The sequence below is a fragment of the Homo sapiens genome, chromosome 7 (assembly GCF_000001405.40).
Source record: "Homo sapiens chromosome 7, GRCh38.p14 Primary Assembly".
NCBI lineage: Eukaryota > Metazoa > Chordata > Mammalia > Primates > Hominidae > Homo > Homo sapiens.
In genome coordinates, this window is record NC_000007.14 from 99,706,057 (window position 1) to 99,733,253 (window position 27,197).

Consider the following 27,197-nt stretch of genomic DNA (forward strand, 5'->3'; position numbering starts at 1 on the left):
AGTAATTCCTCTCAATTGAACCCATCTAGTGTAAAGATGGGAAGACACCTTCAGGAAGCATTATCGTTTTATTTTTTAACATCTTCTCTTGGTTTACAAGGGTAGTGCAAGTGGGGAACCTCTCAATTCCTACAGTGTTTTGACTCAACTTTTCTTATTGAGACACTCCTTCAGTGTTGAGGGGACACAATAGAGTGATATTCTGATCTCCATGGAGTGATGGGCAAGAAAATTGCCATGGAGATCCAGAAGTGCCAGCTTGGGACTTCCAAGGGAGTACCTTCCCCATCCTAGGTGTGCCAGAGGACCGCCTTCTCTCAGGGCTGAGTCTCCTGTCTGAGCACACATACAGGATAGCTACATAGCTGGCCTAAAGCCACAAATAATGTGGAATATGAAAATAATATGGAAACCATCTCTATCTTCTTCCTCTTCTATGTAGAAAGCCTGCTTAAGGTGTGGAGTTGCTTAATAAATACATGAGACCTAGAAATAAGATTTATAGGGTCTTGCTTAATATGAATCAATGACATCTGTTCTTTAACTTCTTCAGAGAAAAGGTTCCAAATCTTTCTATAAATATAACACATTATTTAAAAATTTTCAAAAGGCATGAATATATTTTCCCTGCAGACAGACATGCATGTGCACATGTGCAAGCACACACACATGCAAATACATGAATGTCATTTGCTAAATGTTCACATTAAAAAACTTAATATTTGTATGCAAACCAATCGACTGCATATCACTCCTTAAACATTTACCAAATGACCAAATGCTTGAGTTAGATGAGGTCACTTGCAAGGCACCACTGGGATATTTTAAATGGAATAAAATGAGAAGATATTGTTAATGGAGGGGGGAAGACATTCTTAGATAAAGAGAAAATATAGAGAACAAAACTCAATGATTTAATGGCAAATTATGAAATTATATGATAATAGCCTCCAGTAACTAATAACAGAGCAGAGGAGTAAATGAGCCCTGGACTAGGTCAAGAAGACACCTTGGAGGGGCTTGGGAATTGAACTAGGACTTGAAAGATAAGAACAGAATGAGGAGAAGAAAGGAAAGAAGATTAGCAGAGTTATAATTGAGTTGAAAAGGAGCCCAGTTGGTTGGAGCTAGGCACCTGGAAGGTGAGGTCAGTAAGGATGGCCTTGGACTGTGGTAGTCCTTCGTATCCAATAGAACTACCTTAAATTAGTCATTTTCCACCTTGGCTTCACATGAGAAGCAATGGGGGAGCTTTTAAAGCCACACTCTGGGCAAATTAGTTTAGAATTTCTGAGATGTTCCAGGCATCATGAATTTTTAAAGCTCCCTGGTGATTCCAATGTACAGCTAGTGGTTGGGAGCCACTGTCATGAGAAAACTTCTACAAGTTCTGGGAAGGAAGAGCATCATTCAAAAGTCAAAACAAGATAATAAGTGCACCTCATGATTGTGCAAAATACTTCCCCATCTTTCCAATTGACTTGAAACTGAATTTAATTTTGCTCAAGTTCAAGGAGACTGTAGATAATCATGTCATGCTAGTCTACATTGACATTGCATGATGTTTTTAATGCTACAGCTTTTGAACTCCAGAACTGAAGCACCCTTAAAGATCATAGATGGGTCCAAATAGATTCCTTGGCCCATAGAACAAATTATTAAAAGATTAAGTGAGTGTATTCTTTTTTAAATATATAGACCATTCAGTTAAAATAATTGTTAATAAAACATTATTAATGCAGAAAATTGACTGACCTGTGTTTCTTTACAAGGTTTGAAGGAGAAGTTCTGAAGGACTCTGACTAGAGCAAGTTTCATGTTCACGAGAGCAAACCTCATGCCAATGCAGTTTCTGGGTCCACTTCCAAAGGGTGTGTATATGTAAGGATCTATGTTGTCCTTGTTCTTTTTACTGAACCTGGTTCCATATTGGTAGATATTTTAAAAGTTAAAGACATAATACCTCTAAGAGTTACATGTTAGGGTTTCTTACTTAGGGCCCACCCCTCTACTAGCAGTACACAGGATACTTTTGTGGGCTAGTCACTGAAATCCTGCTATGCATATTTTGCTATGAGAATTGTAAGGTACAGATCCTTTCTACTCTCCTTACATTATAGGAGCTTTCAGTCTTGTTGAGAGGAGATAAATACTGTTGCAAAGTATATTTATTTCTAAACACTCAAATTATAGTCAGGATGGTGATGTGTTCACACTACAAAAGGCACATAAGTGATGAGAATGACTGACAGAAAAGTAGATTCCTGCCTCAAGTCACCCTTATGTTGGTCATGAGGAAGGAGAAGAAATTGTCTTGCACTACTTCAAAATTGTTATTTTGCACTTTCCTTCTCCTCTCGTCTCTTGTTTTTCTAATTCTCCTCCTTCTCCTCCCTACCTTGTCTTACCCCTCCTTCTCTCCTCCTTCTCCTCCTTCTTCTAATCTCCATCTCTCCTTCTTTCTCCCCCACACCTCCATAGAATAGTTTAAGTCAGATAATTTACACAGGCATATGATGCTACTGTATTGATGGAAAGCAGTGTCATCACTGCTTTCTTTGTCTATCTGTTGCACTAACCTATAAATTCTTTGAAGATTAGACGCATGTTTTTTATTCAAATTTGATTCCTGAAGATTTGAGTATATTCAGGAAAAAATATTCATTTGTGGGACATAATAATAGCATTGTGATCATGTGTTTTTAAAAGAGTCCTTACATTTTGGACACTTATGACCCATAAGGACATAATTGAGGACCTTCATCTTAAGTTGCTGGGACTGTGACTGGCTATAGTTTTCTTTTATCTAGTCTGTGGTTTGTAAAGTGTGACAATGATCAATTTCATGATTTGAAAAAACCTTTTAAACATAAAAAGACAAGCAAACGATTGTACAAGCCCAGACTGTCCTGTAGAGAGGCAGAATATGCTTGAACCAGGCTGGTTCAGGGAGGGCTCCCTTCCCAGGGGCCTCCTACCTTTCAGGGAGGAACTTCTCAGGCTCTGTCCAGTACTTTGGGTCATGATGAAGAACATAGCTTGGAATCATCACCACCACCCCTTTGGGAATAAACATCCCATTGATTTCAACATCTTTTTTGCAGACCCTCTCAAGTCTCATAGCAACTGGGAATAATCTGAGTGTTTCATTCACCACCATGTCAAGATACTCCAACTGTAGCACAGTATCATAGGTGGGTGGTGCCTGAAAAGAAAGAAACAGATTTGGATAAATTGAGATTTTTGAATTAACTTTTAACTCAGTCCATGTAGTACTGTTGAACTGTTAGAAGTTCCAGAGAACAACTCATACTGGCAAAGGATTGTAGCATTCATAAAGTATTTTAATAACTGTCATGCCCTTTGATGTGCTCAATGGCCCACTAAGATGTGTGGAGGAGTTATGAAAGCAGGAGACATTCGGGAAGGCTCTAACCCCAATGACTGAAATCCTTAGCATAACCATGTAGTGGTTTTTCTTTCTCATGGAAGCAAACATGACTAATAGGCTATGACCACTAGCATCAAATAAAATATGACAAAGTGATTGTCACCATTCAAAAAAGAGGTTACACGTCTGTAACCAAGGAAGTGAAAACAGATAGAAAAAGCAAATTCTCTGTGCGACAAGGATTATTGGCCAAACTTCTGGTTCATAACTCTTTTTGTTATATATACAAACAAAAACAGTTACAAAGCAGGATTTGTATTATATATATGTGTGTGTGTGTGTATATATATATATATGCATATATACACAAAAGCAGGGCTTTTGTTATATACATAAAATGTGGAGAGAAACACTATATTATATAAAATCTCTATCAATAATTTGAGGAAAAACTAGTCCCTTTCTATCCCAAATATGACAAAAGAAAGTTCTGGTGGATGTTATCAGAGCATGTGATTTCAGTGCCAGGCAAAGTTATGAAAAGGATAGAACCCCACACAGCCCTGTCCTCACTTGCTGAAACAGTCTCCTAGTTGTTGCTTCAGGGCTGGACTGTAATCTCTGAAGAACATCCCTTTGTGCTCACCTCACTGCCACACAAAGACCAGCCCAAAAGCCATGTCTCTTCATAGCACAAAGAATCCAAGTTTTGGCAGAGGTCTGAAAACAGTGTGGTTGATAGGCACCTAGTACTTAGTGTTATATTTGAAAGGCAATATTATAGAGTTTAAGAGTTTAGCTCAGAAGTCAGATACCCTGGTTCCTAGCTTGCTTCTTCACCAGTGGTTACCTGACTGAAACATGAGACACATGTGGGGCAGAGCTGAGTCAACCTGCACAGCGCACCCAGGGCCAGGCTCCATCAGATCACAGCCAGACCAGAGCAAGTCCTGCCAATATCAGCAGAGCTCACTATCAAGACGTGTGAGCAATATGCATATTGTTAAATGCCAGGGAGGTTTTTGGATGTTTTTTTACTTAGCATTATTGTGGTAACAGAAAGCAGATGAACCAGGGAGAGGACTGTTTTACAAAGATCTTATACTTCTGCCAATAGCAACCATTCCCTATGCTTCCTTCTTTTTATTTTGAGAGCCTTCCTACATATTGTGAATGAAACAATCATGATTATGCTTTTTATAAAAATTCTCCTGGGAAGTGGTGAGGAAGCATCTTTGCTAAGGCTTCACCTCCTCCCTCCTTCTCCATGTACTGTCCACTCACCTTATTGGGTAAAACTGTATCAATTTCCTTCTGCACTTTCTGCTGGACATCAGGGTGAGTGGCCAGTTCATATATAATGAAGGAGAGAACACTGCTCGTGGTTTCATAGCCAGCAAAAATAAAGATAATTGATTGGGCCATGAGCTCCAGATCAGACAGAGCTGAAAGGAGAGAAAAGACATTTTAGGTAAATCAGGTCAATGTAGGGCATCACAGTTTAGATGAAAAGAAATCTAAGTGGAACCTTCAAATCCCCAGGGGAAAAAATAGAAAAGCAATTCAGAGTCTCACTGGGGGTGGTTTCACTCTGATGTGTGTCTTACAGAGCCAGAACAAGGCAAATCATTTTAATCCAGTTTTCCCCCAATGTCTTCAAGAACGTAGACCATCCGCTCCTCCTCGTGCCATCCCTGCCACCTTCACAGCTGGGTAATTTCCAGAGAGAACATTTCTGCATAACATACTCAGTGTCATGGTGTGCTCCTTGAATGATCCTAAAAGTACTTTATTGTAAATTAATATGGGGTAGTCTTCTCTCCCAAGAAAAATGTAATTCATTTTAGCTACAATATACCTTGACAAACTTTGAGAGAATTTGCAACATTAATGGCTAGATGTATGGAAAATTAAAGGACCTTTCCTTTAGATATGTTTGAGGGAACTTAAGAGACCAATATTGGAATACAGACCACCTCTTGCTACTCAAAGTGTGGTCCGTGGATCATAAGCATCTGTGACCTTATTAGAAATGCAAAGGCTGGGCATGGTGGCACACACCTGTAATCCCATCACTTTGGGAGGCCAAGGTGGGTGGATCACCCGAGGTCAGGAGTTCAAGACCAGCCTAACCAACATGGAGAAACCCCTTCTCTACTAAAAATACAAAATTACCCAGGCATGGTGACGCATGCCTGTAATCCCAGCTACTTGGGAGGCTGAGGCAGAATAATCGCTTGAATCTGGGAGGCTGAGGTTGTGGTGAGCTGAGATCATGCCATTGCACTCCAGCCTGGGCAACAAGAGCGAAAACTCTGTCTCAAAACAAAACAAAACAACAACAACAACAACAAAAACAGAAATGCAAAATCTCAAACCCCACCATTGAACTACTGATTCAAGTCTGAATTTCACAAGATGTGGTAATTTGTGTGCATAGCCCAGGTTGAGAAGTATGGATTATATCTTTGAGAGGCACCAGGTAATAGACCCAGGCTATAGGTCTCAGAATTGACTATCTCAGGATGTACAGCAACTGAAGATGGACAAAAAGCTAGATGAGTGGTGATTGATTGCAGTCTGATGAATGGCATTAAAATGGTATAAGCTCTTGTGATTGCAAGTTGGCCCCTCTCTTGATTTTTTTCCTGAGAGAAGCTCAGGATGGCCCATCACTGGTCTGTTTGATCAGGACTGGATTAGGACATTTAGAGACCGGGAACACAGAAATAAATATAGTGCCTGTTCCAACCATGTAACTCACCACCAAAACCAATACGAAAGGAGTGTGAGAAATGTCAACAGAGCTGTGATTTACCAGTGAAGATTTCTGTGATGCAGTTGTGGGTAAATTCAACTATCTAATAATTGTATTCTGTTACCATGAACCTGATGATACTGATGTGAAACCAAACTATAATCTCAAAGTTTAGAGCTCTGCTGTCCAATGTGGTAGCCACTATTGACATGTGGCTATTTAAAATCAAATTTTATTCAATTAAACTTAAATACAACTTAAAATTTTTCATCAGTGGCACTAGCCACATGTGCAGTGCTCAATAGCTATATGTGTCTAGTGATTTCTAGATGAAACACTAAAACAGTAGGCTATTTCCTTTATCACAGCAAGTTGTATTGGGATAGATAGAGAGATGATAGCTAGATAATCAGTAAGTAGATAAATAGATGATTGATGGACAGATGATAGATAGATAGACAGACAGACAGAAGTAGATGTAGACATGGACATATTTAAATCTGTATGCCAAAGTCAGCCTACTCCTGCTCTCTAGAACCAATGATTAAATATTCAGGAATTTTGTGACATGATTGCCAAATCTTGGTGGCTTGAAACTGAACATGGCCATCATTTTGCCACTCATAGTAACAATGACTTCAGTAAAAATCGTACATGGGTTGTAAAACTGGTAGGTGAAAGACTGAAGACAAAGGATATTTACACAGTCTCAGAGGTTTTCCAAAAAGTTACTTATCCATTGCAAAGGAAAAAATAACTTCATAGTTGATTAACCTGGTGAACACACTTTCACCAAAAATTGCCAGTTAAAATCGCCCTTATTTGGATAGCATGGCTCCTGATTAGGTGTTAGATGCATTAAGTTGCTGCAAAAGTAATTGCGGTTTTTGCCATTGAAAGCAATCACAAAAATTGCAATTATTTTTGCAGAAACCTAATAAATTTCCAGGAAGAAACTTTAATTCTGTGGATCTGGAGGAGGCTGAGAACTGGCATTTGATCTTATGTAGGTGATCCACAGACTGCTGACTCTTCCTGGCATGCCAGTTTTCCTTAGGGTTGCCCTTTAAGCTTAGAACATGGCTATCTATGCCTGCATGCCTCTAGAAGTTGCCTCCAGCTACCATTTTAACATCCAAACCTGTGTCATTCTGCTATGTGGCAGAAATTCTCATCTACCTGGAATACTTCCTGCACATTTTCAGAACAAAACCTTCCCTCTGAGTGCCCCACCAGTAGCCCTCAGAAGCACTCTTTTGTTACCTTTGTGGGTCTCAGAGTCTTTTGAATTCTGAGAGTCAATCATCAGCTGAAGGAAATCCACTCGGTGCTAGAAGCAAAAAGAGAAATTTTATTGACAGAAAGTGACTCGTGAAGTCAGAAGTTAATCAGAAGTGCAGTCCTCAACCTCCCTTCTGAGAATATAGCCCCTTGGAGACCAGAAATCTGATGGGTGTTGCCTGAGTCACCAGTGAAAAGGAATATCCATCTAAATCCTTGGAAAGCAGGATGTTTTCCTGAAACAAATCTGGCTAAAATGTTCAATTGCTTTTTGGTCTTTTCCCTGGTCCTAACTGCATACCCATGAAGAAGTCCTGGGCCTTTTATTCTTCTGTCTTCTTCATCACCAATGTCCACAAAGATTATTCTCCTGACATTTCCAGAACTTGTCAGCAGCTTTGGTGGGAGCACTTTCAAATACTGCAACATTCCCCAAATCTGTACAATCTTCAGTGACACCTGGGTTACCCCTTCTTGCCCCCCTGACCTGCAGATATCTTTTGGCTGGACTCCAGGGCTCATGAAGGCAAAGCTGAGTTAGCCAGCCTTGCAGCCTCAATTCCCAGAGAAGACCTCTGTTCACTCGAGGCTGTCAGAGGGCTCAAATGTAACACACACTACACTTCAGCAGGTGGCCTGATAGGACCTTTTGTTGGAGAATGTGTAAAATAATAGCCTTGTACTTGAAATGACTCTTTACCAATCTATGATCTAGAGAAAGCATAATACCAATAAAATGTATTTCCAAACAGTAATGTTTATCCTTTGACAATTTATTGAAGGGAAGTGCTGTGATAAGGTTTTATCTGAATAATATTTATGTCATGGCATACTAATTCTTGTGCCTGATATCAAATTTTAAGTGCTCTCTCTGACTCATTCTCATATCTCCTTCCTCAAACTCCACTTTCTGCATTCCTACCAAATGAATTATCTTGCTCTAAACATAAGTACTCTTTATGTTAAAATCTTTCTCTAAAAACATACAGGGAAGTGCACCGATCATATGTATATTTCTAAAAAATTATGAAAACTAAACATCCTCCTATAACTACCACCACGTTTTACCTTTTGTGTCTCTTTGAGGCGACCTTCTTTTATCTGTTTTACAGATTTTGTTAGAAAACTTATAACTTTTCTTGGAAACACAGTGATATTTAATGCTTCAAGAATTGGGGTAAGGAATGGAAAGACTTCTGTAGAAAAAAAAAACCAACAGAAAACGAAACCATTGTGAACATACAAAATTTACCTGGAGCAATTCTAATTTTCTCTACCAATCAGAAGAGTGAAATACATCAGTGTTCTCAACTGGAAGCCATTCCTTCTATGACTTTTGCCCCTCTTCCAGGCCAGTGGCTGAGCAAGGGAAGGTCTGTGCATAGGGACCACCACTACAGCAGTGAGATCAGCAGCCCCTTCTGCATCTTTTGAATGATGAAAGGAACAAAATTCAATGCCCTAATCTCTTTGCCTTTATGTATTGGGCTAGGGTCTCTTAGGATAACCCAAATCATAATTTGCTGCTTAAATTAATCATGCTCTTCAAGAAATCAGATAGAAATAACACAGTGTATCTCTGTCACCTATCATAGGATAAAGCTAAAATCAATAAGGTAACGAAAATTGGGAAACTCACACATACGTGGAAGTTAAACAATAAACTTTTAAGCAACCAATAAGTTGAAGTAGAAATTAAAAGGGCAAATAGAAACTGTTTTGAGCTGAGCAAAAATTAAGATGTGATAGGCCAGAATGTCATGTTATTTAGCAAACAAGTGCCCAGAGGGAAATTTATAGTTGTAATGTCTAAATTTAGAGGAAAAAAACCCACAAATCAATAATCTACATTCATGCCACAACACAGTAAACGGAGAAGGGCAAACTAAGCCTGAAGCCAGCAGAAGAAAGAAAATAATACAGACTAAAGTACAAATTCATGAACTAGAGAATTAAAAAAACCCTGAAAAATTAATATCATTTCTATGAAGTGTCCAGAATAGGCAAATCTATAGATGCAGAAAGTTGACTAGTGGTTATATACGACAACAGGATTTCTGGCAGGGGGTTGATAGCTAAACATGTATGAGGTTTCTAGAATGACAGAAGTGTTTTAAAGTTTACAATGGTGATGGTCGTACATATCTTCAAATGTACTACAAACCATTAAACTGTACATTTTAAGTGGATGAATTACATGGTGATTTACATCTCAATAAAGCAGTTATTTTTAAGAGAGAGGGAGAGAAAAGGAAATAGTAGTCCACATACTTATTGAGAGAACGAATGGATCTAATGGATTAAATCTTAAAAGCTTCTTGGTGTTTTCCACAAAGGGGTCTTGTGGATTGTTGAGAGAGTCGATGCTCACTCCAAATGATGTGCTAGTGATCACATCCATGCTGTAGGCCCCAAAGACGCTGAGTGGAGAAAGATGTGGAAAATTAAAATCAGCACCTCTTTACCATCCTTCCTCTATGCGTGCAGCAGGAAATCCACATGTCCAGTCAAGACAGACAAACAGCCACAGACTTTCAGAACTATTTACTGGAGCATCTCCCATCACACTCCCTCAGAAGGTGATTATCAGGTGTCAGTGACACAGCTGGCTCTCCGCTGGGGGTGATGGAGACACTCAACTGAGTTAGACTTACCTCTGAGGTCAAGGAGCCTAGTCATAGAAAGACAGAGATCCACTATCAGACAACTGCAGTAGCATGTGTTAATTGTGGATGATACAAGATGGGTAAGCACTGTGCTTCAGCAGAACAAGAGTAGAAAAATTCACTCTTTCTAAGGGGCTCAAGACAGGTGACATTGCCTGACTACAGACTCTATGCCCAGAGCCGATTCCTCTTCAGCACTTTACAAAGCAACAGTACCATGTCCTGAGCTCCTAGAAATATCATCCTTATTCTCTATACTCCCTGCTCAAGCTTTGGAAAATTCCACTATCCCCAGCTGTGGTGAGCTGAGGTTGCCCTGATGGCAGAATTATTTTTGTAAAATATAATGACAAATGATGTCCTGGTTAAAAAAAACTCTCAAAATTTGATTTGGAAACTTCTATAGTGAGTGACCACATATCCCCTGTCTGCCCAGGACAGGCTCAGATTACACCTGTTGTTCCTGCATAAGTGTAGACAGCAAATAATAGGCTTGCCCCACCTATAGCGTTTTTACCACCCTCTCTCTTTGAGACTGGAGGAAAAAGAAATGGTGGGAATGTTTAATATTTAGTATTCTACTGATACCCTCAGAAAAAAAACATGAAATGATCAAAGTTATTCTAAGTTCTCCATTATAACTTTCCCACCCTACTCACTGCCAACCAACAGATACCAAGTGCCTTCCCCTTCCACCATCCCATACACTCCATGCTTAAAACTTTGATACAATCACACTTTTCCCCCTAAAGGATGTATTTAGTCCTCCAGAATATCCAAGGTGACAATTTAACAGATATGTAAACCCTGACCTCTGTGCACAGGGGAGAAGATCCTTTTCCTCCAGCTGCCCCACCTCCTCATCGGAGCTGCCCCATCTTGGGAGACCCATTGAAGTTGCATTACCACAGCCCTCCTTTTGTCTGGTCACTGGAATAACCCAACAGCGGGAGTATCAGCTCCATAGCAGGCAGCTGGAGGGGCTCATGACAGCTCAGAACCCCATGGCTGTGCTCCTACTTACTGTTTCAAGGTGACAGGCTTGCCTGTCTCTGCTTCCCGCCTCAGATTTCTCACCAACACATCTCCATACTGGGCAATGATAGGGACCATCTAAGCACAAAACACAACACCACCCATAGTTAAATGTGCAGACATAAGTCCCAGAAGGACATGACTTTGCCTGGCATGGAACAATAAGTGACATTGTATAATGAATTTTATGATGTGTTTTCTGTACATAAAAAGACTATTTTTAGGAAGCTCAAATTCAGCAGACTACTCCTCGGAAAGGAACTCTGATCTTACTTTCTACCTGTCCCCACCTGATTCATTCTTTAAGTTTCTAATTAAAACCCAAGTTATTTTCATACCTCCTTGAGTTTTCCGCTGGTGAATGTTGGAGACAGCAATGATCGTATTCTCTTCCATTCTTCATCCTCAGCTATAGAGATGGCATTTTTCATAAATCCCACTGGCCCGAAAGGCTAGAGTTCAAAGCAGAAAGATTTTGTCCTACATCAGTTGTGGAGGTCTCCATGGTTGTAGAAAATGTGTTAAACAGGCATCATGTATTTAACAAATATTTAGTGACTGTCTACTAAGTGACAGGCCCTATGACAGATGCTCAATAGGATTTATCCCACATGCCCAGCCACCTGATGTGGTCTCCAGCCTGTATATCCCAGTCTCCTTTTACATGCAAATTCTCCACATGGTACGGAACCTGTTCTTCCACTGGAATAGACAGGATCAACACCTAGCACGCGTGCAGTGTAGAGAGAGAGTGGAGACAGAGAGGCAGGTGGCTTTGTTGGACTGTATGTTGCCTCAGACGAGCTCTGTCTTTATGTTCACCTAAACCATGGGCAACATGAAAAAGAGGTGCCTTGATGTGGTAGATTTAAAAAAATATACAATGAGAACACATGGACACAGGAAGGGGAACATCACACACTGGGGCCTGTTGTGGGGTGGGGAGAGGGGGGAAGGATAGCATTAGGAGTTATACCTAATGTTAAATGATGAGTTAATGAGTACAGCACACCAACATGGCACATGCATACATATGTAACAAACCTGCACGTTGTGCACATGTACCCTAAAAAAAGTATAATAAAAAAGGTAGGTAATACTTTTAAAACTCACAACGTATTTTGAAGAAATAATGCGATTCTATTAACATTCTTTCCTCTTAATTTTTTATTCCATGGATAGAAAAAAAGAAGAAAGAGATAATTATTTTTGCCAGCTTGGATCTGGCCTATCAAGCCAGCATGCTTGAAACTCTCTTTCATCTTCCACAGCCATATTTTGTTTTATAATGAGTACTTACAGTACTCTTTTATGTTAAAAATTCAGCAAACTAGGGAGAGAAAATTCCTCCATTTGATAAAGAGAATCTACAAAAAAACCCACTTCATCTAAATCATTCTTGATGATGAAAGACCAAATGCTTCCTTCCTAATATTAGGAACAATTCAAAAATTCAACACATTTATTTGACATTATACTGGGAAAAAGAATTAAAAGGCATACAGATTGGAAAGGAAATAAAAGAATTGTCTCTATTTTCAAGTGACATAATTGTCAATGTATAAAATCTCAAGAATATACAAAAAGACTTCTAGAAATACTAAGTCAGCTCGGCAAGGTTCTATGATACAAGATCAACAAACAAAAGCCAAGCATGTTTCTATGTACCAACAATCAATATCTGAAAATACAAGAAAAACATAATATCATTTACAATCACTCCAACAAAAATGAAATACTTTAGCTGTAAATCCAACAAAACATGCACAGGATCTCTATGCTGAAAACTACAAATTGCTAAAAGCAATCAGAGAAAATCTAAGGAAATGGAGAGGCATACTATGTTCATGAATTGAAAGACCAAACATAGTGAAGATAAAGACTTTCCCTAAATTGATCTATACATTTAATTCAATTCTTGTTAAAATAACAGCATGTTTATTTATAGACACTGAGAGACTCATTCTGAATTTTTATGGAAAAGCAGAGGACCAGGAAGAGCTAAAACAAATCTAAAAAAATACATCCATAAAAGTGGGAAGAATCACTCTACATGATGCTAAGAGTTACTGTACAGGTATTAGAGTCACCAGTTTGTTGTTGATGGAGGAATAAACACAGTGATCAATGGGACAGAATAGCAAATGAAAGATGCAAAGAAACATGCCCAATTAATTTTTAACAATATGCCCACATTTCCAAAAATGGCTTTGGAACAACTGGACAACTACAAGCCACAAAAAATGAACGTTGATCTAAATCTCATACCTTATACAAAAAATAACACAAAATAGATAGTAGAGTTACATTTAGTAAAGCATTAAACTTTATGACTTTTAGAAAAATTGGCAATATAGGAAGGAGGGCTAGGCAAAGAACTTTCAGACTTGACACCAAAAGCACAATCCATAAAAAAATATTAATACATTGGCCTCCTCAAAATAAAAAAAGTTTTCCCTGATAAAGACCCTCTCAGAGAAAAACACTCGTGACTGTAGGATAGTAGCAGGGAGCCATACGGAGATGGAATGGGTCTGCATCTTGATCATGCTGGTCATTGCACAAATCTACAAATGTGATAAATTTGCATAGAACTACCCACACACTCAAGACCAGCCTGGCCAATAAGGTGAAACCTCGTCTCTACTAAAAATACAAAAATTAGTAGGGCGTGGTGGTGCAACTTGTAGTCCCAGCTACTCGGGAGGTGGAGGCAGAAGAATCACTTGAACCCTGGAGGTGGAGGTTGCAGTGAGCCAAGACCACACCACTGTACTCCCATTTGGGTGACAGAGTGTGACTCAGTCCGAAAAACAAACAACAAACAACAAACAAAAACAAAAACAAAAAACTACCCACACAAATGAGGGCACATAAAACTGGTGAAATCTGAATAAACTCTGTGAACTGTATCAATGTTAATTTCCTGTACTGCAGTAATGTGAATATACTGTATTTATAGTTATGCAAGATTGCAAGATGTTACCATGGGGGATGGGCAGGATGAAGTGTACATGGAACCTTCCTGCACAGTTTTTAGGCAACTGTCTATGAATATATAAGAATTTTAAAATAAAAATTTAATCAATCAATGAGTATTTTAATTTCAAAAAATGGATGCTTACCCTCCGGTTTGTGAAGACAGAATAACATTCTTTCACTAGCACTGTTTTGATCATGTCGGGATCTGTGATAGCCAGCATAGGCTGTTGACAGTCATAAATACTGTGTGGAGAAAACAGAGTTGATTAAACATCAACAGCCTTATGCTACAGCTGGAGCCAAACCCAGGAAGCCAGACTTTGATCCGGACATTACATAATCCTCTAGATGTACAATACACAGTAATCTTAAGTTCTAGTTCATTAGGTATAACTCACAGCAAGAGTCTGACACAGGAGCCATCCAAGTCTTCATACGATGAAGGGTAATGTGGGCCAAACAGGGAAGAGAGATTGAAAGACAAAAGAGCTCTTCAAAGAGATTGTGGTTAGAAATGACAGGAGAGCATTTGTTAAGCTGGGTGGTGCATACATGGGTATTTCCCATGCCATTCTCCACAATGTTTCATAGGTTTAAAATATTTCCCTTTATAAAGAGTATTAGGTCCATGGAAAATTGAAGGCAAGTAAATCATCAAATGCTCACAAGGACTAAATGTTTCAAGGGCAGTTGCTGTGGGGCCCAAGGACATCCAGAGCTGTGTGTCCTTTCTACTCAGTCATGTTGCCTGTATGGGCCATGCCAGATCCACAGCACCCTGCAGACAGCACTGTGGTTTCTGAGGACTTGATGAGAGAAGATGAAATACAAACAGGCAAAACCTTCTCCCTAATGCTTCTAGTGAACGAACACACCACTGCACCTCTTCCACCGCTCTTGCCAAACCTCTAGCCCCTCTGACAGGGAACAGCTGCTGCAGTTGGCTGAGGCCACCTTATAAAATCACAGTCCATCAGCCCACCAGGGAACACAATGGTTTAAGAATATTCAGCATCTCTTCAAATTCAGCAGAAATGTATAGACAAAGATGTATTTATATATCCTTCTATTAAAAAGTCTTGGCTTAAAGTTAATAATAAAACAGAATGAAAAATTCCACACTTACATAGAAAGTTTAAAAAAAAGAAACAGCAGAGCATGGTTTCCCAATCTGTTTCTCTATATTTCTCAACCCTTCTTTCAAAAGCATGTTAAATCCAAAGTTGAAATGAAAGAGTTTTGGCTTTTAATTGAAAGTGAATCGATGTGGGAAGGAGATGATGCCATGCATTTATGAGCACATATTCGAAGGGTCTGAGACAATGCATGTGATAAAAGGGCATCAAGGGAAGAAAAAAAGAAGAGGGGAATAGGCAGACACTGGACAGAACGTGATGCTGGGAGTCCCTGGGCCACCAAAGCTTGGAGAAAAGTGGTAACCACAATGGTCTCAGCCTAGTTTAGACCGAAGACCTCAACACCTGGTGACATATGGGATCCTTGGTAGGACAAATCTCAAAAAGTTGTTTTACAATAGCGAGTGTGAACATTGTGAGAACCAAAATTATGACACGTGTGTGTGTGTGTGTCAGTGTGTCTGTGTGCCTATGTGTGTGATTAAAAACCTTGACAAATAAATCAAAGAAGGCTATGATGAGTGGATTCTCATGCTTGTGTGCCTGATAACAAAACTATCACAAAATACTTGGCAAAACCACCAGCTTGCAGAAAGCCCAACCCAACCTTACACAAAAATATTTCTGCAAGGACACCTGCCCAGCAACTGCCTGTCCAACCTTGGTGTGGCATCACCCTTGTTACTGATCTTTGTAGTGAAGGAGAACTATTTCAAAATCCACATGAAGTCCTCCTCATATTTTCTGTGGAACATCTTTGTCTTCCTTTACCTCCCTGAATTTGCACATAGCTTATAATGGCACACAGTTTCCCATTCTAATACTCTTCTCCCAAATACATATCTTCTTCTTTCAGAAAACCTCTCTGTTTGTAGTTAGGCTGGCAAGAGCTTCATCGCAAGAGGCTCTGGGCTGAGACTATCCTCTGTGCAGTGGGGTAAACTCATCATAGAAACAAGTCTATCCAATGGAATCTTCCAGAATACTCACCCCCAGACTTTTCTATACTTTTTATAACATTCCATGTCAAACGTCCAATAGCCCTGGGAGGAGAAACAAAATAATATTTCATTATTATTTTAAGTGTACTTAACCCTGCCTCTAATTGGGGTTGAAAACAGTCAAATCCAATGAAATTAGACTTGCTGGCAGTTAGAGGAAGCTTATTTAGAGATGTCATAAGAGAAAGGAAACAAAATAGAGGAGGTATTTGAAATGGGAAATTTAAAATCACTCTTGAATTTTCTTTAAGTGTTGTCGATACTGAATGTCTTATCCTTGTGTATAAATACTAAGTAACTCCTTGTCTTTCTGATGTCTCTTTGCTTTTTCATGTGTTGTCTCTAAAATCTCATAAATCCTTGAATGATCACCTCTAGGGGCATGTGGAGAAACTGAGGCTGAGGGAATGTGAGTGAGCGCCAGAAGGGAACGTGCAGTCTTTTTTCTCTTTGTTCTTCATCCTTTTCATTTATTTCATGAGCTCACTCTAGAATTCTAGCAGAATTAGAAAGTTACAGACACCAGGGACCTCTTTTAGCCTAGCAGATTTAGATAAGTGTGAGGCATGTTTGTTGAGTGAGAAAATGAGTGAGTGACAGAATGACAAAGTGGACTCGCTTTCCAGTTTTCCAGCTTAACATGAAAGTTCTGAGAAAATGTCACCTCTACACATCGGAGACAGAAAATTATGACACTTGCTCCGAGTTTGCACTGAAACTTAAAAAAAAACCTTCCTGTTTCTACATTTCAGGGGTGAAGTTTTAACTATGGAAAAGAAGGTCCGAGGAATGTGTATCTTGGGGGTACATCTACTAAAGATTTGACATGGGAAAGTGGTGGGTTTCAGGCCTCTTAGCCCAAGCCTGCATGGGTACATCCAGATGGCCTGAGGCAACCAAAAACTACAAATAGGTGAAACAGCCAGCTCCTGTCTTAACTGATTGACCAACCTTACAACGTTCCATTATGACTTGTTACTGCCCTGCCCCAACTGATCGATTGATCGACCTCGTGACATTCTTCTTCTGGACAATGAGTCTTATGATCTCCCTACCATGCACCTTGTGACCCCCTCCTCTGCTGACAATAGATAACTTCCTTTAACTGCAACTTTCCACTGCTTACCCCAGTCCTATAAAACTGACCCACCCCTATCTCCCTTTGCAGACTCCTTTTCGGACTCAGTCAGCCTGCACCCAGGTGATTAAAAAGCTTTATTGCTCACACAAAGACTGTTTGGTGGTCTCTTCACATGGACGCAAATGACATTTGGTGCCAAAGACCTGGGACAGGGGGACTCCTTCGGGAGTCCCATCCCCTGTCCTCGCCCTCACTCCATGGGGAGATCCACCTCTTGGGTCCTCAGACCAGCCAGCCCAAGGTCATCTCACCAATTTTAAATCGGGTAAGCGGCCTCTTTTTATTCTCTTCTCCAACCTCTCTTGCTATCCCTCCACCCTTCAATCTCTCCCTTCCTTAATTTCAGTTTCTTTCCCTTTCTGGTAGAGACGGAGGAGATACGTTTTATCCATGAACTCAAAACTCTGGTGCCAGTCATGGACTCGGGAACAGTCTTCCCTTGGTGTCTAAATCACTGCCAGGACACCTGCCTGGTTATTCACCCACATTTCAGAGGTATCTGATCACTGTGGGGATGCCTGCCTTGATCATTCACCTTGGCACAAGTACCACCTCCCCTGGGTCACAAGTATCACCTTCCCTGGGTGGCAAGTACCACCTTCCCTGGGTGGCAAGCACCACCTTCCCTGGGTGGCAAGTACCATCTCCCCTCTCTCCATGTCTCTACCTTCTCTTTTCTCTGGGCTTGCCCCCTTCACTATGGGCAACCTTCCAGCCTCCACTCCCTCTTCTTCTCCCTTAGCCTGTGTTCTTCAAAACCTAAAACCCCCTTTGACTAACACCTGACCTAAAACCTAAATGCCTTATTTTCTTCTGCAATACCGCTTGGCCTCAATACAAACTGGACAATGGTTCCAAATAGCCAGAAAATGACACTTTTGATTTCTCGATCTTATAAGACCTGGATGATTTTTGTTGAAAAATGGGCAAATGGTCTGAGGTGCCTGACATCCAGGCATTCTTTTATACATCAGTCTCTCCCTAGTCTCTGCTCCCAGTGTGACTCATCCCAAATCTTTCTTCTTTCTCTCCTGTCTCTTTCTTCAGTCTCCACCCTAAGCTCTGAGTCCTTTGAATCCTCCTTTTCTATGAACCCATCTGACCTCTCCCCTCCCCACCAGGCTGCTCCTCACCAGGCCAAGCCAGGTCCCAATTCTTCCTCATCCTCTGCTCCCCCACCCTATAATAGAAGTATCACCTCCCCTCCTCACACCCACTCCACCTTACAGTTTCATTCCGAGACTAGCCCTCCTCCACCTGCCCAACAATTTTCTCTTAGTCAGGTGGCTGGAGCTGAAGGCATAGTCAAGGTACATGTGCCTTTTTCTCTATCGACCTCTCCCAGATCAGTCAGCGTTTAGGCTCTTTTTCATCAGACCCCACTAAATATATACAGGAATTCCAATATTTAACTCAGTCCTGCGATTTAACCTGGAGTGACTGAAATGTCATCCTGACCTCCCCCCTCTCCCCAGATGAGCAGGAAAGAGTTGATACCCTAGCCCAATCTCACACTGACACCCACCAGTGCCATGAGCCAGACCTTCAAGAAGGCATCAGGGCAGTTCCCCAAGAGCATCCCCATTGGCAGTACAAGATGGACTCCCCAGGTATAGCTAGGTGAGATTACATGGTCTCCTGCCTAGTCAAGGGGTTCAAAAAAGCAGCATACAAGGCTGTTAATTATGACAAGCTAAAGGAAACTACCCAAGGTAAAGATGAAAACCCAGCCCAGTTCATGGCCCACTTAGCACCTACCATTAGATGCTTCACAGCCCTGGACCCAGAGGGGCCAGAAGGCCGCCTTATCCTTAATATGCATTTTATGACCCAATCCTCTCCTGACATTAGAAAAAATCTCCAAAAATTGGATTCCAGGCCTCAAACCCCACAACAGGACTTAAATAGCCTCACCTTCAAGGTGTATCATAATAGAGAAGAGGCGGCCAAGTGACAATGCATCTCTGAATTATAGCTACTTGCCTCCAGTGTAAGACAACCCAAGACCATGTCTCCAGCATACAAAACCTTCAGAACATCCAAGCCACAGCTCCCAGGGGCTCCTTCAAAACCTCCTCATGGACCTTGCTTCAAATGCCAAAAGCCTGGCCACTGGGCCTCAGAAGGCCCACAGCCTGGGATTCCTCCTAAGCCGTGCCCTGTCTGTGTGGGCTCCAATTAGAGGTTGGACTGTCTGACTCACATCGCCACTGCTCCTAAAGTTCCTGGAGCTCAAACCCAATGTTTCTTGGCTGACTCCTTCCCAGATCTCCTTGGCTTAGTGGCTGAAGACTGATGCTACCCGATCACCTCGGAAGCCCCCCGGAGAATCACGGATGCCAAACTTCAGGTAACTCTTACAGCAGAGGGTAAGTCCATCCCCTGTGTAATCGATAGGGGGGATACCCACTCCACACTACCTTCTTTTCAAGGGCCTGCTTCCCTTGCCCCCATAACTGTTGTGGGTATTGACGGCCAGGTTTCTAAACCTCTTAAAACTCCCCAACTTTGGTGCCAAATTGGGCAACATTCTTTTATGCACTCCTTTTTAGTTATCCCCACCTGCCAGTTCCCTTATTAGGCTGAGATATTTTAACCAAATTATCTGCTTCTCTGACTATTCCTGGACTACAGCTACATCTCATTGCCATCCTTCTTCCCAACCCAAAGCCTCCTTCGTGTCTTCCTCTTGTATCCCCCCACCTTAACCCACAGGTATGGGACACCTCTACTCCCTCCCTGGCAACTGATCACATGCCCATTACTATCCCATTAAAGCCTAATCACCCTTACCCAGCTTAACGCCAGTATCCCATCCCACAAGAGGCTTTAAGGAGATTGAAGCCTGTTATCACTCACCTGCTACAGCATGGGCTTCTAAAGCCTACAAACTCTCCTTATAATTCCCCCATCTTACCTGTCTAAAAACCAGACAAGTCTTACAGGTTTGTTCAGGATCTGCGCCTTATCAACAAAATTGTTTTCCTATCCACCCTGTGGTGCCCAACCCGTACACTCTTTTGTTCTCAATATCTCCCTCCACAACTCACTATTCCATTCTTGATCTTAAAGATGCTTTTTTCACTATTCCCCTGCACCACACATCCCAGCCTCTCTTTGCTTTTACCTAAACTGACCCTGACACCCATCAGTCCCAGCAGCTTACCTGGGCTGTACTGCCACAAGGCTTCTGGGACAGCCCTCATTACTTCAGCCAAGCTCTCTCTCATGATTTACTTTCTTCCCATCCCTCTGCTTCCCACATTATTCAATATATTGATGACCTTCTACTCTGTAGTCCCTCCTTTGAGTCTTTTCAACAAGATACCCTCCTGCTCCTTCAACATTTACTCTCCAAAGGATATCGGGTATCCCCCTCCAAAGCTCAAATTTCTTCTCCATCCGTTACGTACCTCAGCATAATTCTTCATGAAAACACATGGGGTCTCCCTGCTGATCATGTCTGGCTGATCTCTGAAACCCCAACCCCTTCTACAAAACAACTCCTTTCCTTCCTGGGCATGGTTGGATACTTTTGCCTTTGGATACCTGGTTTTGCCATCCTAACAAAACCATTATATAAACTCACAAAGGGAAACCTAGCTGACCCCATAAGTCCTAAATCCTTTCCTCACTCCTCTTTCCATTCCTTGAAGACAGCTCTAGAGGCTGTTCCCATACTAGCTCTTCCTGACTCATCCCAACTCTTTTCATTACACACAGCCAAAGTGCAGGGCTGTGCAGCTGGAATTCTTACACAAGGACTGGGACCGTGCTCTGTAGCCTTTTTGTCCAAACAACTTGACCTTACTGTTTTAGGCTGGTCATCATGTCTCTGTGCAGTGGCTGCCACCACCCTAATACTTTTAGAAGCCCTCAAAATCACAAACTATGCTCAACTCACTCCATACAGTTCTCATAACTTCCAAAATATATTTCCTTCCTCACACCTGATGCATATACTTTCTGTTCCCCAGCTCCTTTAGCAATACCCACTCTCTGTTGAGTCTCCCACAATTACCATTGTACCTGGCCTGGGCTTCAGTCTGGCCTCCCACATTATTCCTGATACCACACCTTATCCCCATGACTGTATCTCTCTGATCCATCTGACATTCACTCTATTTCCCCATATTTCCTTCTTTCCTGTTTTTCACCTGAATCACAGTTAGTTTATTGATGGCAGTTCCACCAGGCCTAATCACCACTCACCAGCAAAGGCAGGCTGTGCTATATTATCTTCCACATCTATCATTGAGGCTACTGCTCTGCCCCCCTCCACTATCTCTCAGCAAGCCAAACTCATTGCCTTAACTTGGGGCCTCACTCTTGCAAAGGGACTACACATCAATATTTATACTGACTCTAAATGCTGTCCATATCCTGCACCACCATGCTGTAATATGGGCTGAAAGAAGTTTCTTCACTATGCAAGTGTCCTCCATCATTAATGCCTCTTTAATAAAAATTCTTCTCAAGGCCACTTTACTTCCAAAAAAAGCTGGAGTCATTCACTGCAAAGGCCATCAAAGGGCCTCAGACCCCATTGCTCAAGGCAACAATTATGCTGATAAGACAGCTAAAGAAGCAACCAGTATTCCTACTTCTGTCCCTCATGGCCAGTTTTTCTCCTTCTCATCAGTCACTCCTATTTACTCTCCCACTGAAGTTTCCATCTATCAATCCCTCCCCACTCAAGGAAGATGGTTCTTAGACCAAGAAAAATATCTCCTTCCAGTCTCACAGGCCCATTCTATTCTGTTGTCATTTCATGACCTCTTCCATGTAGGTTACAAGCAACTAGCCCCCTCCTAGAACTTCTCATTTCCCTTAAGACATTTGCCCTGTATTTCACTCCATTCTTGGCTACCTTCCCCTTGTTCTTCAGACTCTCCTCCCATTCCCCCTTCTTGTTTACTTATACCGAACCCCATGAATAGCAATGAAAGTTTGGTTGTAGACACTATGCTCTTTCTCATACCCAGTTGCCCCATCAATCCCCATTATGACCACTAAGGGCTGATGCCCTCACTAAATCCCTAAGAGTCTGGGTGCAAGACACCTCTTTTGGCACTCCCTCTCATCTTTTCACTTTGCATTTCCAGTTTTGCCTCACACAAGGCCTCTGCTTCCTCTGTGGCTCCACCACGTACATATGTCTATCTGCTAATTGGACAGGTACATGTACACTAGTATTTCTTATTCCCAAATTGAAAAAATTCAATTTGCAAATGGGACTGAACAACTTCCTGTCCCCCTCATGACACCAACCAGACAAAAATGAGTTATTCCTCTAATCCCTCTACTTGTAGGGTTAGGACTTTCTGCTTCCACTATTGCCCTTGGAGCTGGAATAGCAGGTATTTCAACTTCTGTCACAACTTTCTGTAGCCTTTCTAATGACTTTTCTGCTAGCATTACAGATACATCACAAACTTTATCAGTCCTTCAGACCCAGGTTGACTTCTTAGCCCTAGTCGTCCTCCAACATCGCTGAGGCCTTGACCTACTCACTGCTGAAAAAGGAGTACTCTATATTTTTAAATGAAGAATGTTGTTTTTATCTAAACCAATCTGGCCTGGTATATGACAATATAAAAAAGCTTAAAGATAAAGACCAAAAACTCACCAGCCAGGCAAATACTTATTTTGGACCCACCTGGACACTTTCTAACTGGGTGTCTTAGCTCCTCCCTATTCTTAGTCCTCTGGTACCTGTTTTTCTCCTTCTGTTATTCGGGACTTGTGTCTTCAATTGGTTTCTCAATTAATATAAAAACACATTCAGACTATCACCAATTATTCTATACAACAAATATTACTTTTAACAAGTCCATGGTACCATCCTCTGCCCCAAGATCTCCCCACAGCCTAAATTCCTATTCCTTGTAACTCATTATAAAATTTTCTTTAAGGTGTCCACATGGCCCATAATCCCGCTTGAAGCAGCCCTGAGAAACATCATCCATTATCTCTCCATACCACCCCCCAAAAATTTTTGCTGCCCCAACACTTTGCCACTATTTTGTTTTATTTTTCTTAATATAAAAAGACAGGAATGTCAGGCCTCTGAGCCCAAGCCTGCACGTGTACATCCAGATGGCCTGAGGCAACTGAAAACTGCAAAAGAAATGAAACAGCCAGCTCCTGTCTTAACTGATTGAGCAATCTTACGACATTCCATTATGACTTGTTCCTGCCCTGTCCCAACTGATTGATCAATCAACCTGGTGACATTCTTCTCTGCACAATGAGTCTTATGATCTCCCCACCATGCACCTTGTGGCCCCCTCCACTGCTGACAATGGATAACCACCTTTAACTGTAACTTTCCACTGCTTACCCCACTCCTATAAAACTGCCCCACCCCTATCTCCCCTTGCTGACTCCTTTTTCAGACTCAGTTGGCCTGCACCCAAGTGATTAAAAACATTTATTGCTCACACAAAGCCTGTTTGGTGGTCTCCTCACACGGACGCATGTGAAAGTAGGGAAATTATTGCTTTTGCAGAGGGAAAAAATATGAAATTCCTGGGCAGTAATTAGACAACAAAGCCCTCACTTAGGAGAACTAGAATCTGAGAAACAAGCCTCAGGTATGCAGGTCAGATTGTCTAAGCCAGAGAGCTGACTCCTGCTGCTGCTGGCCCTGTGGAAATAAGCTCATAATTTTCCATCCAGGGACCAGGCCCTGAACACAGCATCAGATAAGGTTAGGCACAAAGGCTCGACCAAAGTCCCCAGTCCATGAGGCACATATGACATTCTATTTAGTGAAATTAAATATTCAATAATTTTGTCAAATCATCCCCTTTCTAGTGATTTTGCATGTGATTCTGCCTTTGTGTAAAAAATAAACCCATGAATTCATATTGTGCTTAAATATCTGAGGTTAATAGACAACCACTATCTCATCTCAGTTACATCCACTCCCTGCTCAGACTCACCCACAAGACGCAGCCTTCAAAGGAAAAGAAGTAAAGCAGAACACTTTTGTTCTGTGTCTCAAAGTGGCAACAGATGTCATGGGGAGTAAGACCTGGGTTAAAGCCATGGAAATTCCCCAACAAAATTTGGCATTTTTTGAAGAGGCTTCAAGCAGGTGCAAATGACCCAATGGTAAATACTTGATCTCCCTAATAAACTGAGTTTCCAAGCTGTGCAGGAGGAAGGGAAAAAAGCCTATTCATGAGCTCTTGCTACAGAGAGGAAAGTTTTACTCTCATGTCCACAGATAACAAGCCACAATCAGGGGCTCCTGTTCCTACTTTTAATACTAACTAAGTATGGCTGTACCTTCCTGGGAACCTGCCTGGAGCAAAAAGGAAATGCTCTTTATGGTGCTCACAAAGTCTGCACATCAAGTTGTGAACATCAGATTGCTGGATCTACTTGACATTTGGGCTGTCCAACTGAGGCAAACTTGAGGTTCCTGAGAGTTAGCAAGAGAGCCCCAGGGTAAACTTTGCCACGCTCTGGGTGATGCCTACACGCTATTTCTGAAAGTATAAAATCTCAGACCTTCCTCTTGAGGAGAAGCATTTTTACTGATGGAACTAAGTTGCTCTTTGCAATCATAAGAAGCAAAAGAGGAAGCTCAAAAACACTCACCTTACGGAAGGACAAAGCATTTCCCAAAAAAGGCAGAGGTGTGGGCCCTGGAATTCCAAGCTTCTTAAAAAGTCCATGTGTACGGGTTCCATATCTACAAAGTGAAACAAAAATCAGGTCTCAGGGATTGTGACTTTATAGATATAGGGGCTGGTGAGTCACTGACTGAGGAACTGGAATGATCAGGCAAAGGAGGTAACATTAAGGCAATAAAAAATAACAGTAACTCTGACGGCAATGATTATATTTGTTCATCAGGTCCTTTCATGCTTCCACCATGAGACACCAAAAAGTTACAATGATTAGCTAAAAGCAGCTGAAGTCTTCATGGCCCCAGTCTGGGATGAATATTTGATAAATGTTCTCAAATGTGAATGATCCTGAGAGGTTCAGGAACGAATTCTTCCAGGCACTTCATTCCCTCATGTCTTTTTAGTAAGTGGACTCTTCCCTGATTTTGGGATTCTCATCCTAGGTAGAAAGAGTGACAATTTTTCTTTTGTCTTCTGCAGTGATGATGAGATTTTGCATCACTGCATCCACTCAGTCACAGGGGGTCACTGAGAGCCTATGGTGACCCTGTCTTTAGAATTTGCTCAGAGGCTTTTAAGCTTTCCCTTCACTCTAAGCTCTGACCCTGTTTTAGGATCTGGCCCTTCTTAAACTGTCATTCACAGAGAGGTCTTGGAGGAGTCACAGAGTCCTTATTTCTACAGATTGACAACTGTGCTCCAGGCTTCCATTGGCCTCGTAGAAGTGCGAGCACCTTTTAGCTACACCTCAGTCTCTGTGGTCAGAGGATCTGATTGATTTGAGCTATTGGGGAGGATGATTGACTCATATTTTCCTGAATGACACTGTGCAGAAGAATCACAACTAAGAACAAGGACATTCCTCCTCTTGTGGAATCTAGCCTTCCAACTGGTGATATCCACCTGATAAGCACAGTGCCAGTGATATGATCTGAATCTGTGCCCCTACCCAAATCTCATGTTGAAATGTAATCCCCAATTCTGGAAGTGGGGCCTGATAGATGGTGGTTGTATCTTAGAGGCAGTTTCTCATGGTTTCACACCATCCCCCTTGGGTGCTGTCCTCTTGACAATGAGTTTTTATGAGATCTGGTGGTTTATAAGTGTGTGGCACCTCCTCCCCACCCTCTCTTGCTTCTGCTCCAGTCATGTAAGATCTGCCTGCTTCTTTTTCACCTTCTGCCATGATTGTAAATTTCCTGAGGGCACCCTAGCGGCAGAAGTCGCTATGCTTCCTGTAGAGCCTGCAGAACCATGAGCCAATTAAATCTCTTTCCTTTCTAAATTACCCACCCTGAGATTTTTTTTTATAGCAATGGAAGAAAAGACTAATACAGCCAGACATGCTCATTTTTTTTCAAGGTGATCAATTACAAAGCAGTCAGTTTATTGCGTCTGCACATCAACTGTCTCTGTAGGAAAACCCATCAAGGCTGCTGCTCCCTATAGCAGGCCTGCTTGCAACCCATCTTTGATGGGCCATGTATGGACTTCCCCAACTGGGGATTCTGGATATCTGAAGACCTTCCCAGTTTGAGGTTACTGAGGGGTGGAAGACTGGATGAAGCAGAAAAGTTGATGGAAGAGGTAGCCAGCCATCAATTCAACCATGAATCTGCTAGTCCCACAAGCTTGGCCCCAGACAGGCAAATTAGGAAAATGTGGTTCAAAAGTACGGTGTGTATAAATGGATCCATATGCCTCATATGTGCTTTCAGCTGAAAGGCAGGCACCTTCTAATGGCCAGGTACCTTCCTGTTGATAGCAAAAGATGGAGTATTCCACATAAGTAACCATAAAATGTTCCAGATAGTTGAATTAAGACCTTGTTTTCTCTTCTTTAAAGGGTAGCCATTAAGGCAGTATAGGTTCCAAACATTCTGTACAAATCCAGTGACTCTGATAATATGTGGTAAAATACAACTAAGAAACAGCATGGAGGCTCGTGTTTGGAGAACCCAGCAGAGACAGCATAGCCAGGCCCAATAGTGCATTTGGATCCTTGCCCCAGAATAGTTAGTGGAAGTGTGTGCACCATCTACCACAACCAGGGTGGCCTTGGGTTTTCCCACTCCTGTTCCTTCCTTTGTTGTCACAGCCATGGAAAATCAATGGCACTAATCTCTGCTTCTAAACTTTCTACATGTTACATGATCTCTCAGG

General features: G+C 41.6%; 3 protein-coding genes across 6 annotated transcripts in view; 1 reads left to right on the plus strand and 2 right to left on the minus strand.

Annotated features, from left to right (window-relative positions):
* Positions 1 to 27,197, plus strand: part of ZSCAN25 (zinc finger and SCAN domain containing 25) — a 121,090-nt gene that overhangs the window by 89,111 nt on the left and 4,782 nt on the right. For all 4 annotated transcript variants that reach the window (XR_927402.3, XR_007059989.1, XR_007059990.1 and 1 more), the window contains 2 exons: positions 17,419 to 17,656; positions 19,659 to 19,741. The gene's annotated coding sequence lies outside the window, so the exon portion shown is untranslated. The remainder of the gene's footprint in view (positions 1 to 17,418; positions 17,657 to 19,658; positions 19,742 to 27,197) is intronic.
* CYP3A7-CYP3A51P (CYP3A7-CYP3A51P readthrough) overlaps positions 1 to 27,197 on the minus strand; it is a 50,520-nt gene that overhangs the window by 21,380 nt on the left and 1,943 nt on the right. The window contains exons 2-12 of the mRNA NM_001256497.3: positions 25,003 to 25,096; positions 16,240 to 16,292; positions 14,257 to 14,356; positions 11,470 to 11,583; positions 11,121 to 11,209; positions 9,702 to 9,850; positions 8,499 to 8,626; positions 7,413 to 7,479; positions 4,676 to 4,836; positions 2,979 to 3,205; positions 1,756 to 1,918 (exon numbers count right to left, since the gene is read on the minus strand). Of these exons, the coding sequence (NP_001243426.2) occupies positions 1,756 to 1,918; positions 2,979 to 3,205; positions 4,676 to 4,836; positions 7,413 to 7,479; positions 8,499 to 8,626; positions 9,702 to 9,850; positions 11,121 to 11,209; positions 11,470 to 11,583; positions 14,257 to 14,356; positions 16,240 to 16,292; positions 25,003 to 25,096 (1,345 nt within the window). The remainder of the gene's footprint in view (positions 1 to 1,755; positions 1,919 to 2,978; positions 3,206 to 4,675; positions 4,837 to 7,412; positions 7,480 to 8,498; positions 8,627 to 9,701; positions 9,851 to 11,120; positions 11,210 to 11,469; positions 11,584 to 14,256; positions 14,357 to 16,239; positions 16,293 to 25,002; positions 25,097 to 27,197) is intronic.
* CYP3A7 (cytochrome P450 family 3 subfamily A member 7) overlaps positions 1 to 27,197 on the minus strand; it is a 30,161-nt gene that overhangs the window by 1,021 nt on the left and 1,943 nt on the right. Inside the window, exons 2-12 of the mRNA NM_000765.5 lie at positions 25,003 to 25,096; positions 16,240 to 16,292; positions 14,257 to 14,356; positions 11,470 to 11,583; positions 11,121 to 11,209; positions 9,702 to 9,850; positions 8,499 to 8,626; positions 7,413 to 7,479; positions 4,676 to 4,836; positions 2,979 to 3,205; positions 1,756 to 1,918 (exon numbers count right to left, since the gene is read on the minus strand). Of these exons, the coding sequence (NP_000756.3) occupies positions 1,756 to 1,918; positions 2,979 to 3,205; positions 4,676 to 4,836; positions 7,413 to 7,479; positions 8,499 to 8,626; positions 9,702 to 9,850; positions 11,121 to 11,209; positions 11,470 to 11,583; positions 14,257 to 14,356; positions 16,240 to 16,292; positions 25,003 to 25,096 (1,345 nt within the window). The remainder of the gene's footprint in view (positions 1 to 1,755; positions 1,919 to 2,978; positions 3,206 to 4,675; positions 4,837 to 7,412; positions 7,480 to 8,498; positions 8,627 to 9,701; positions 9,851 to 11,120; positions 11,210 to 11,469; positions 11,584 to 14,256; positions 14,357 to 16,239; positions 16,293 to 25,002; positions 25,097 to 27,197) is intronic.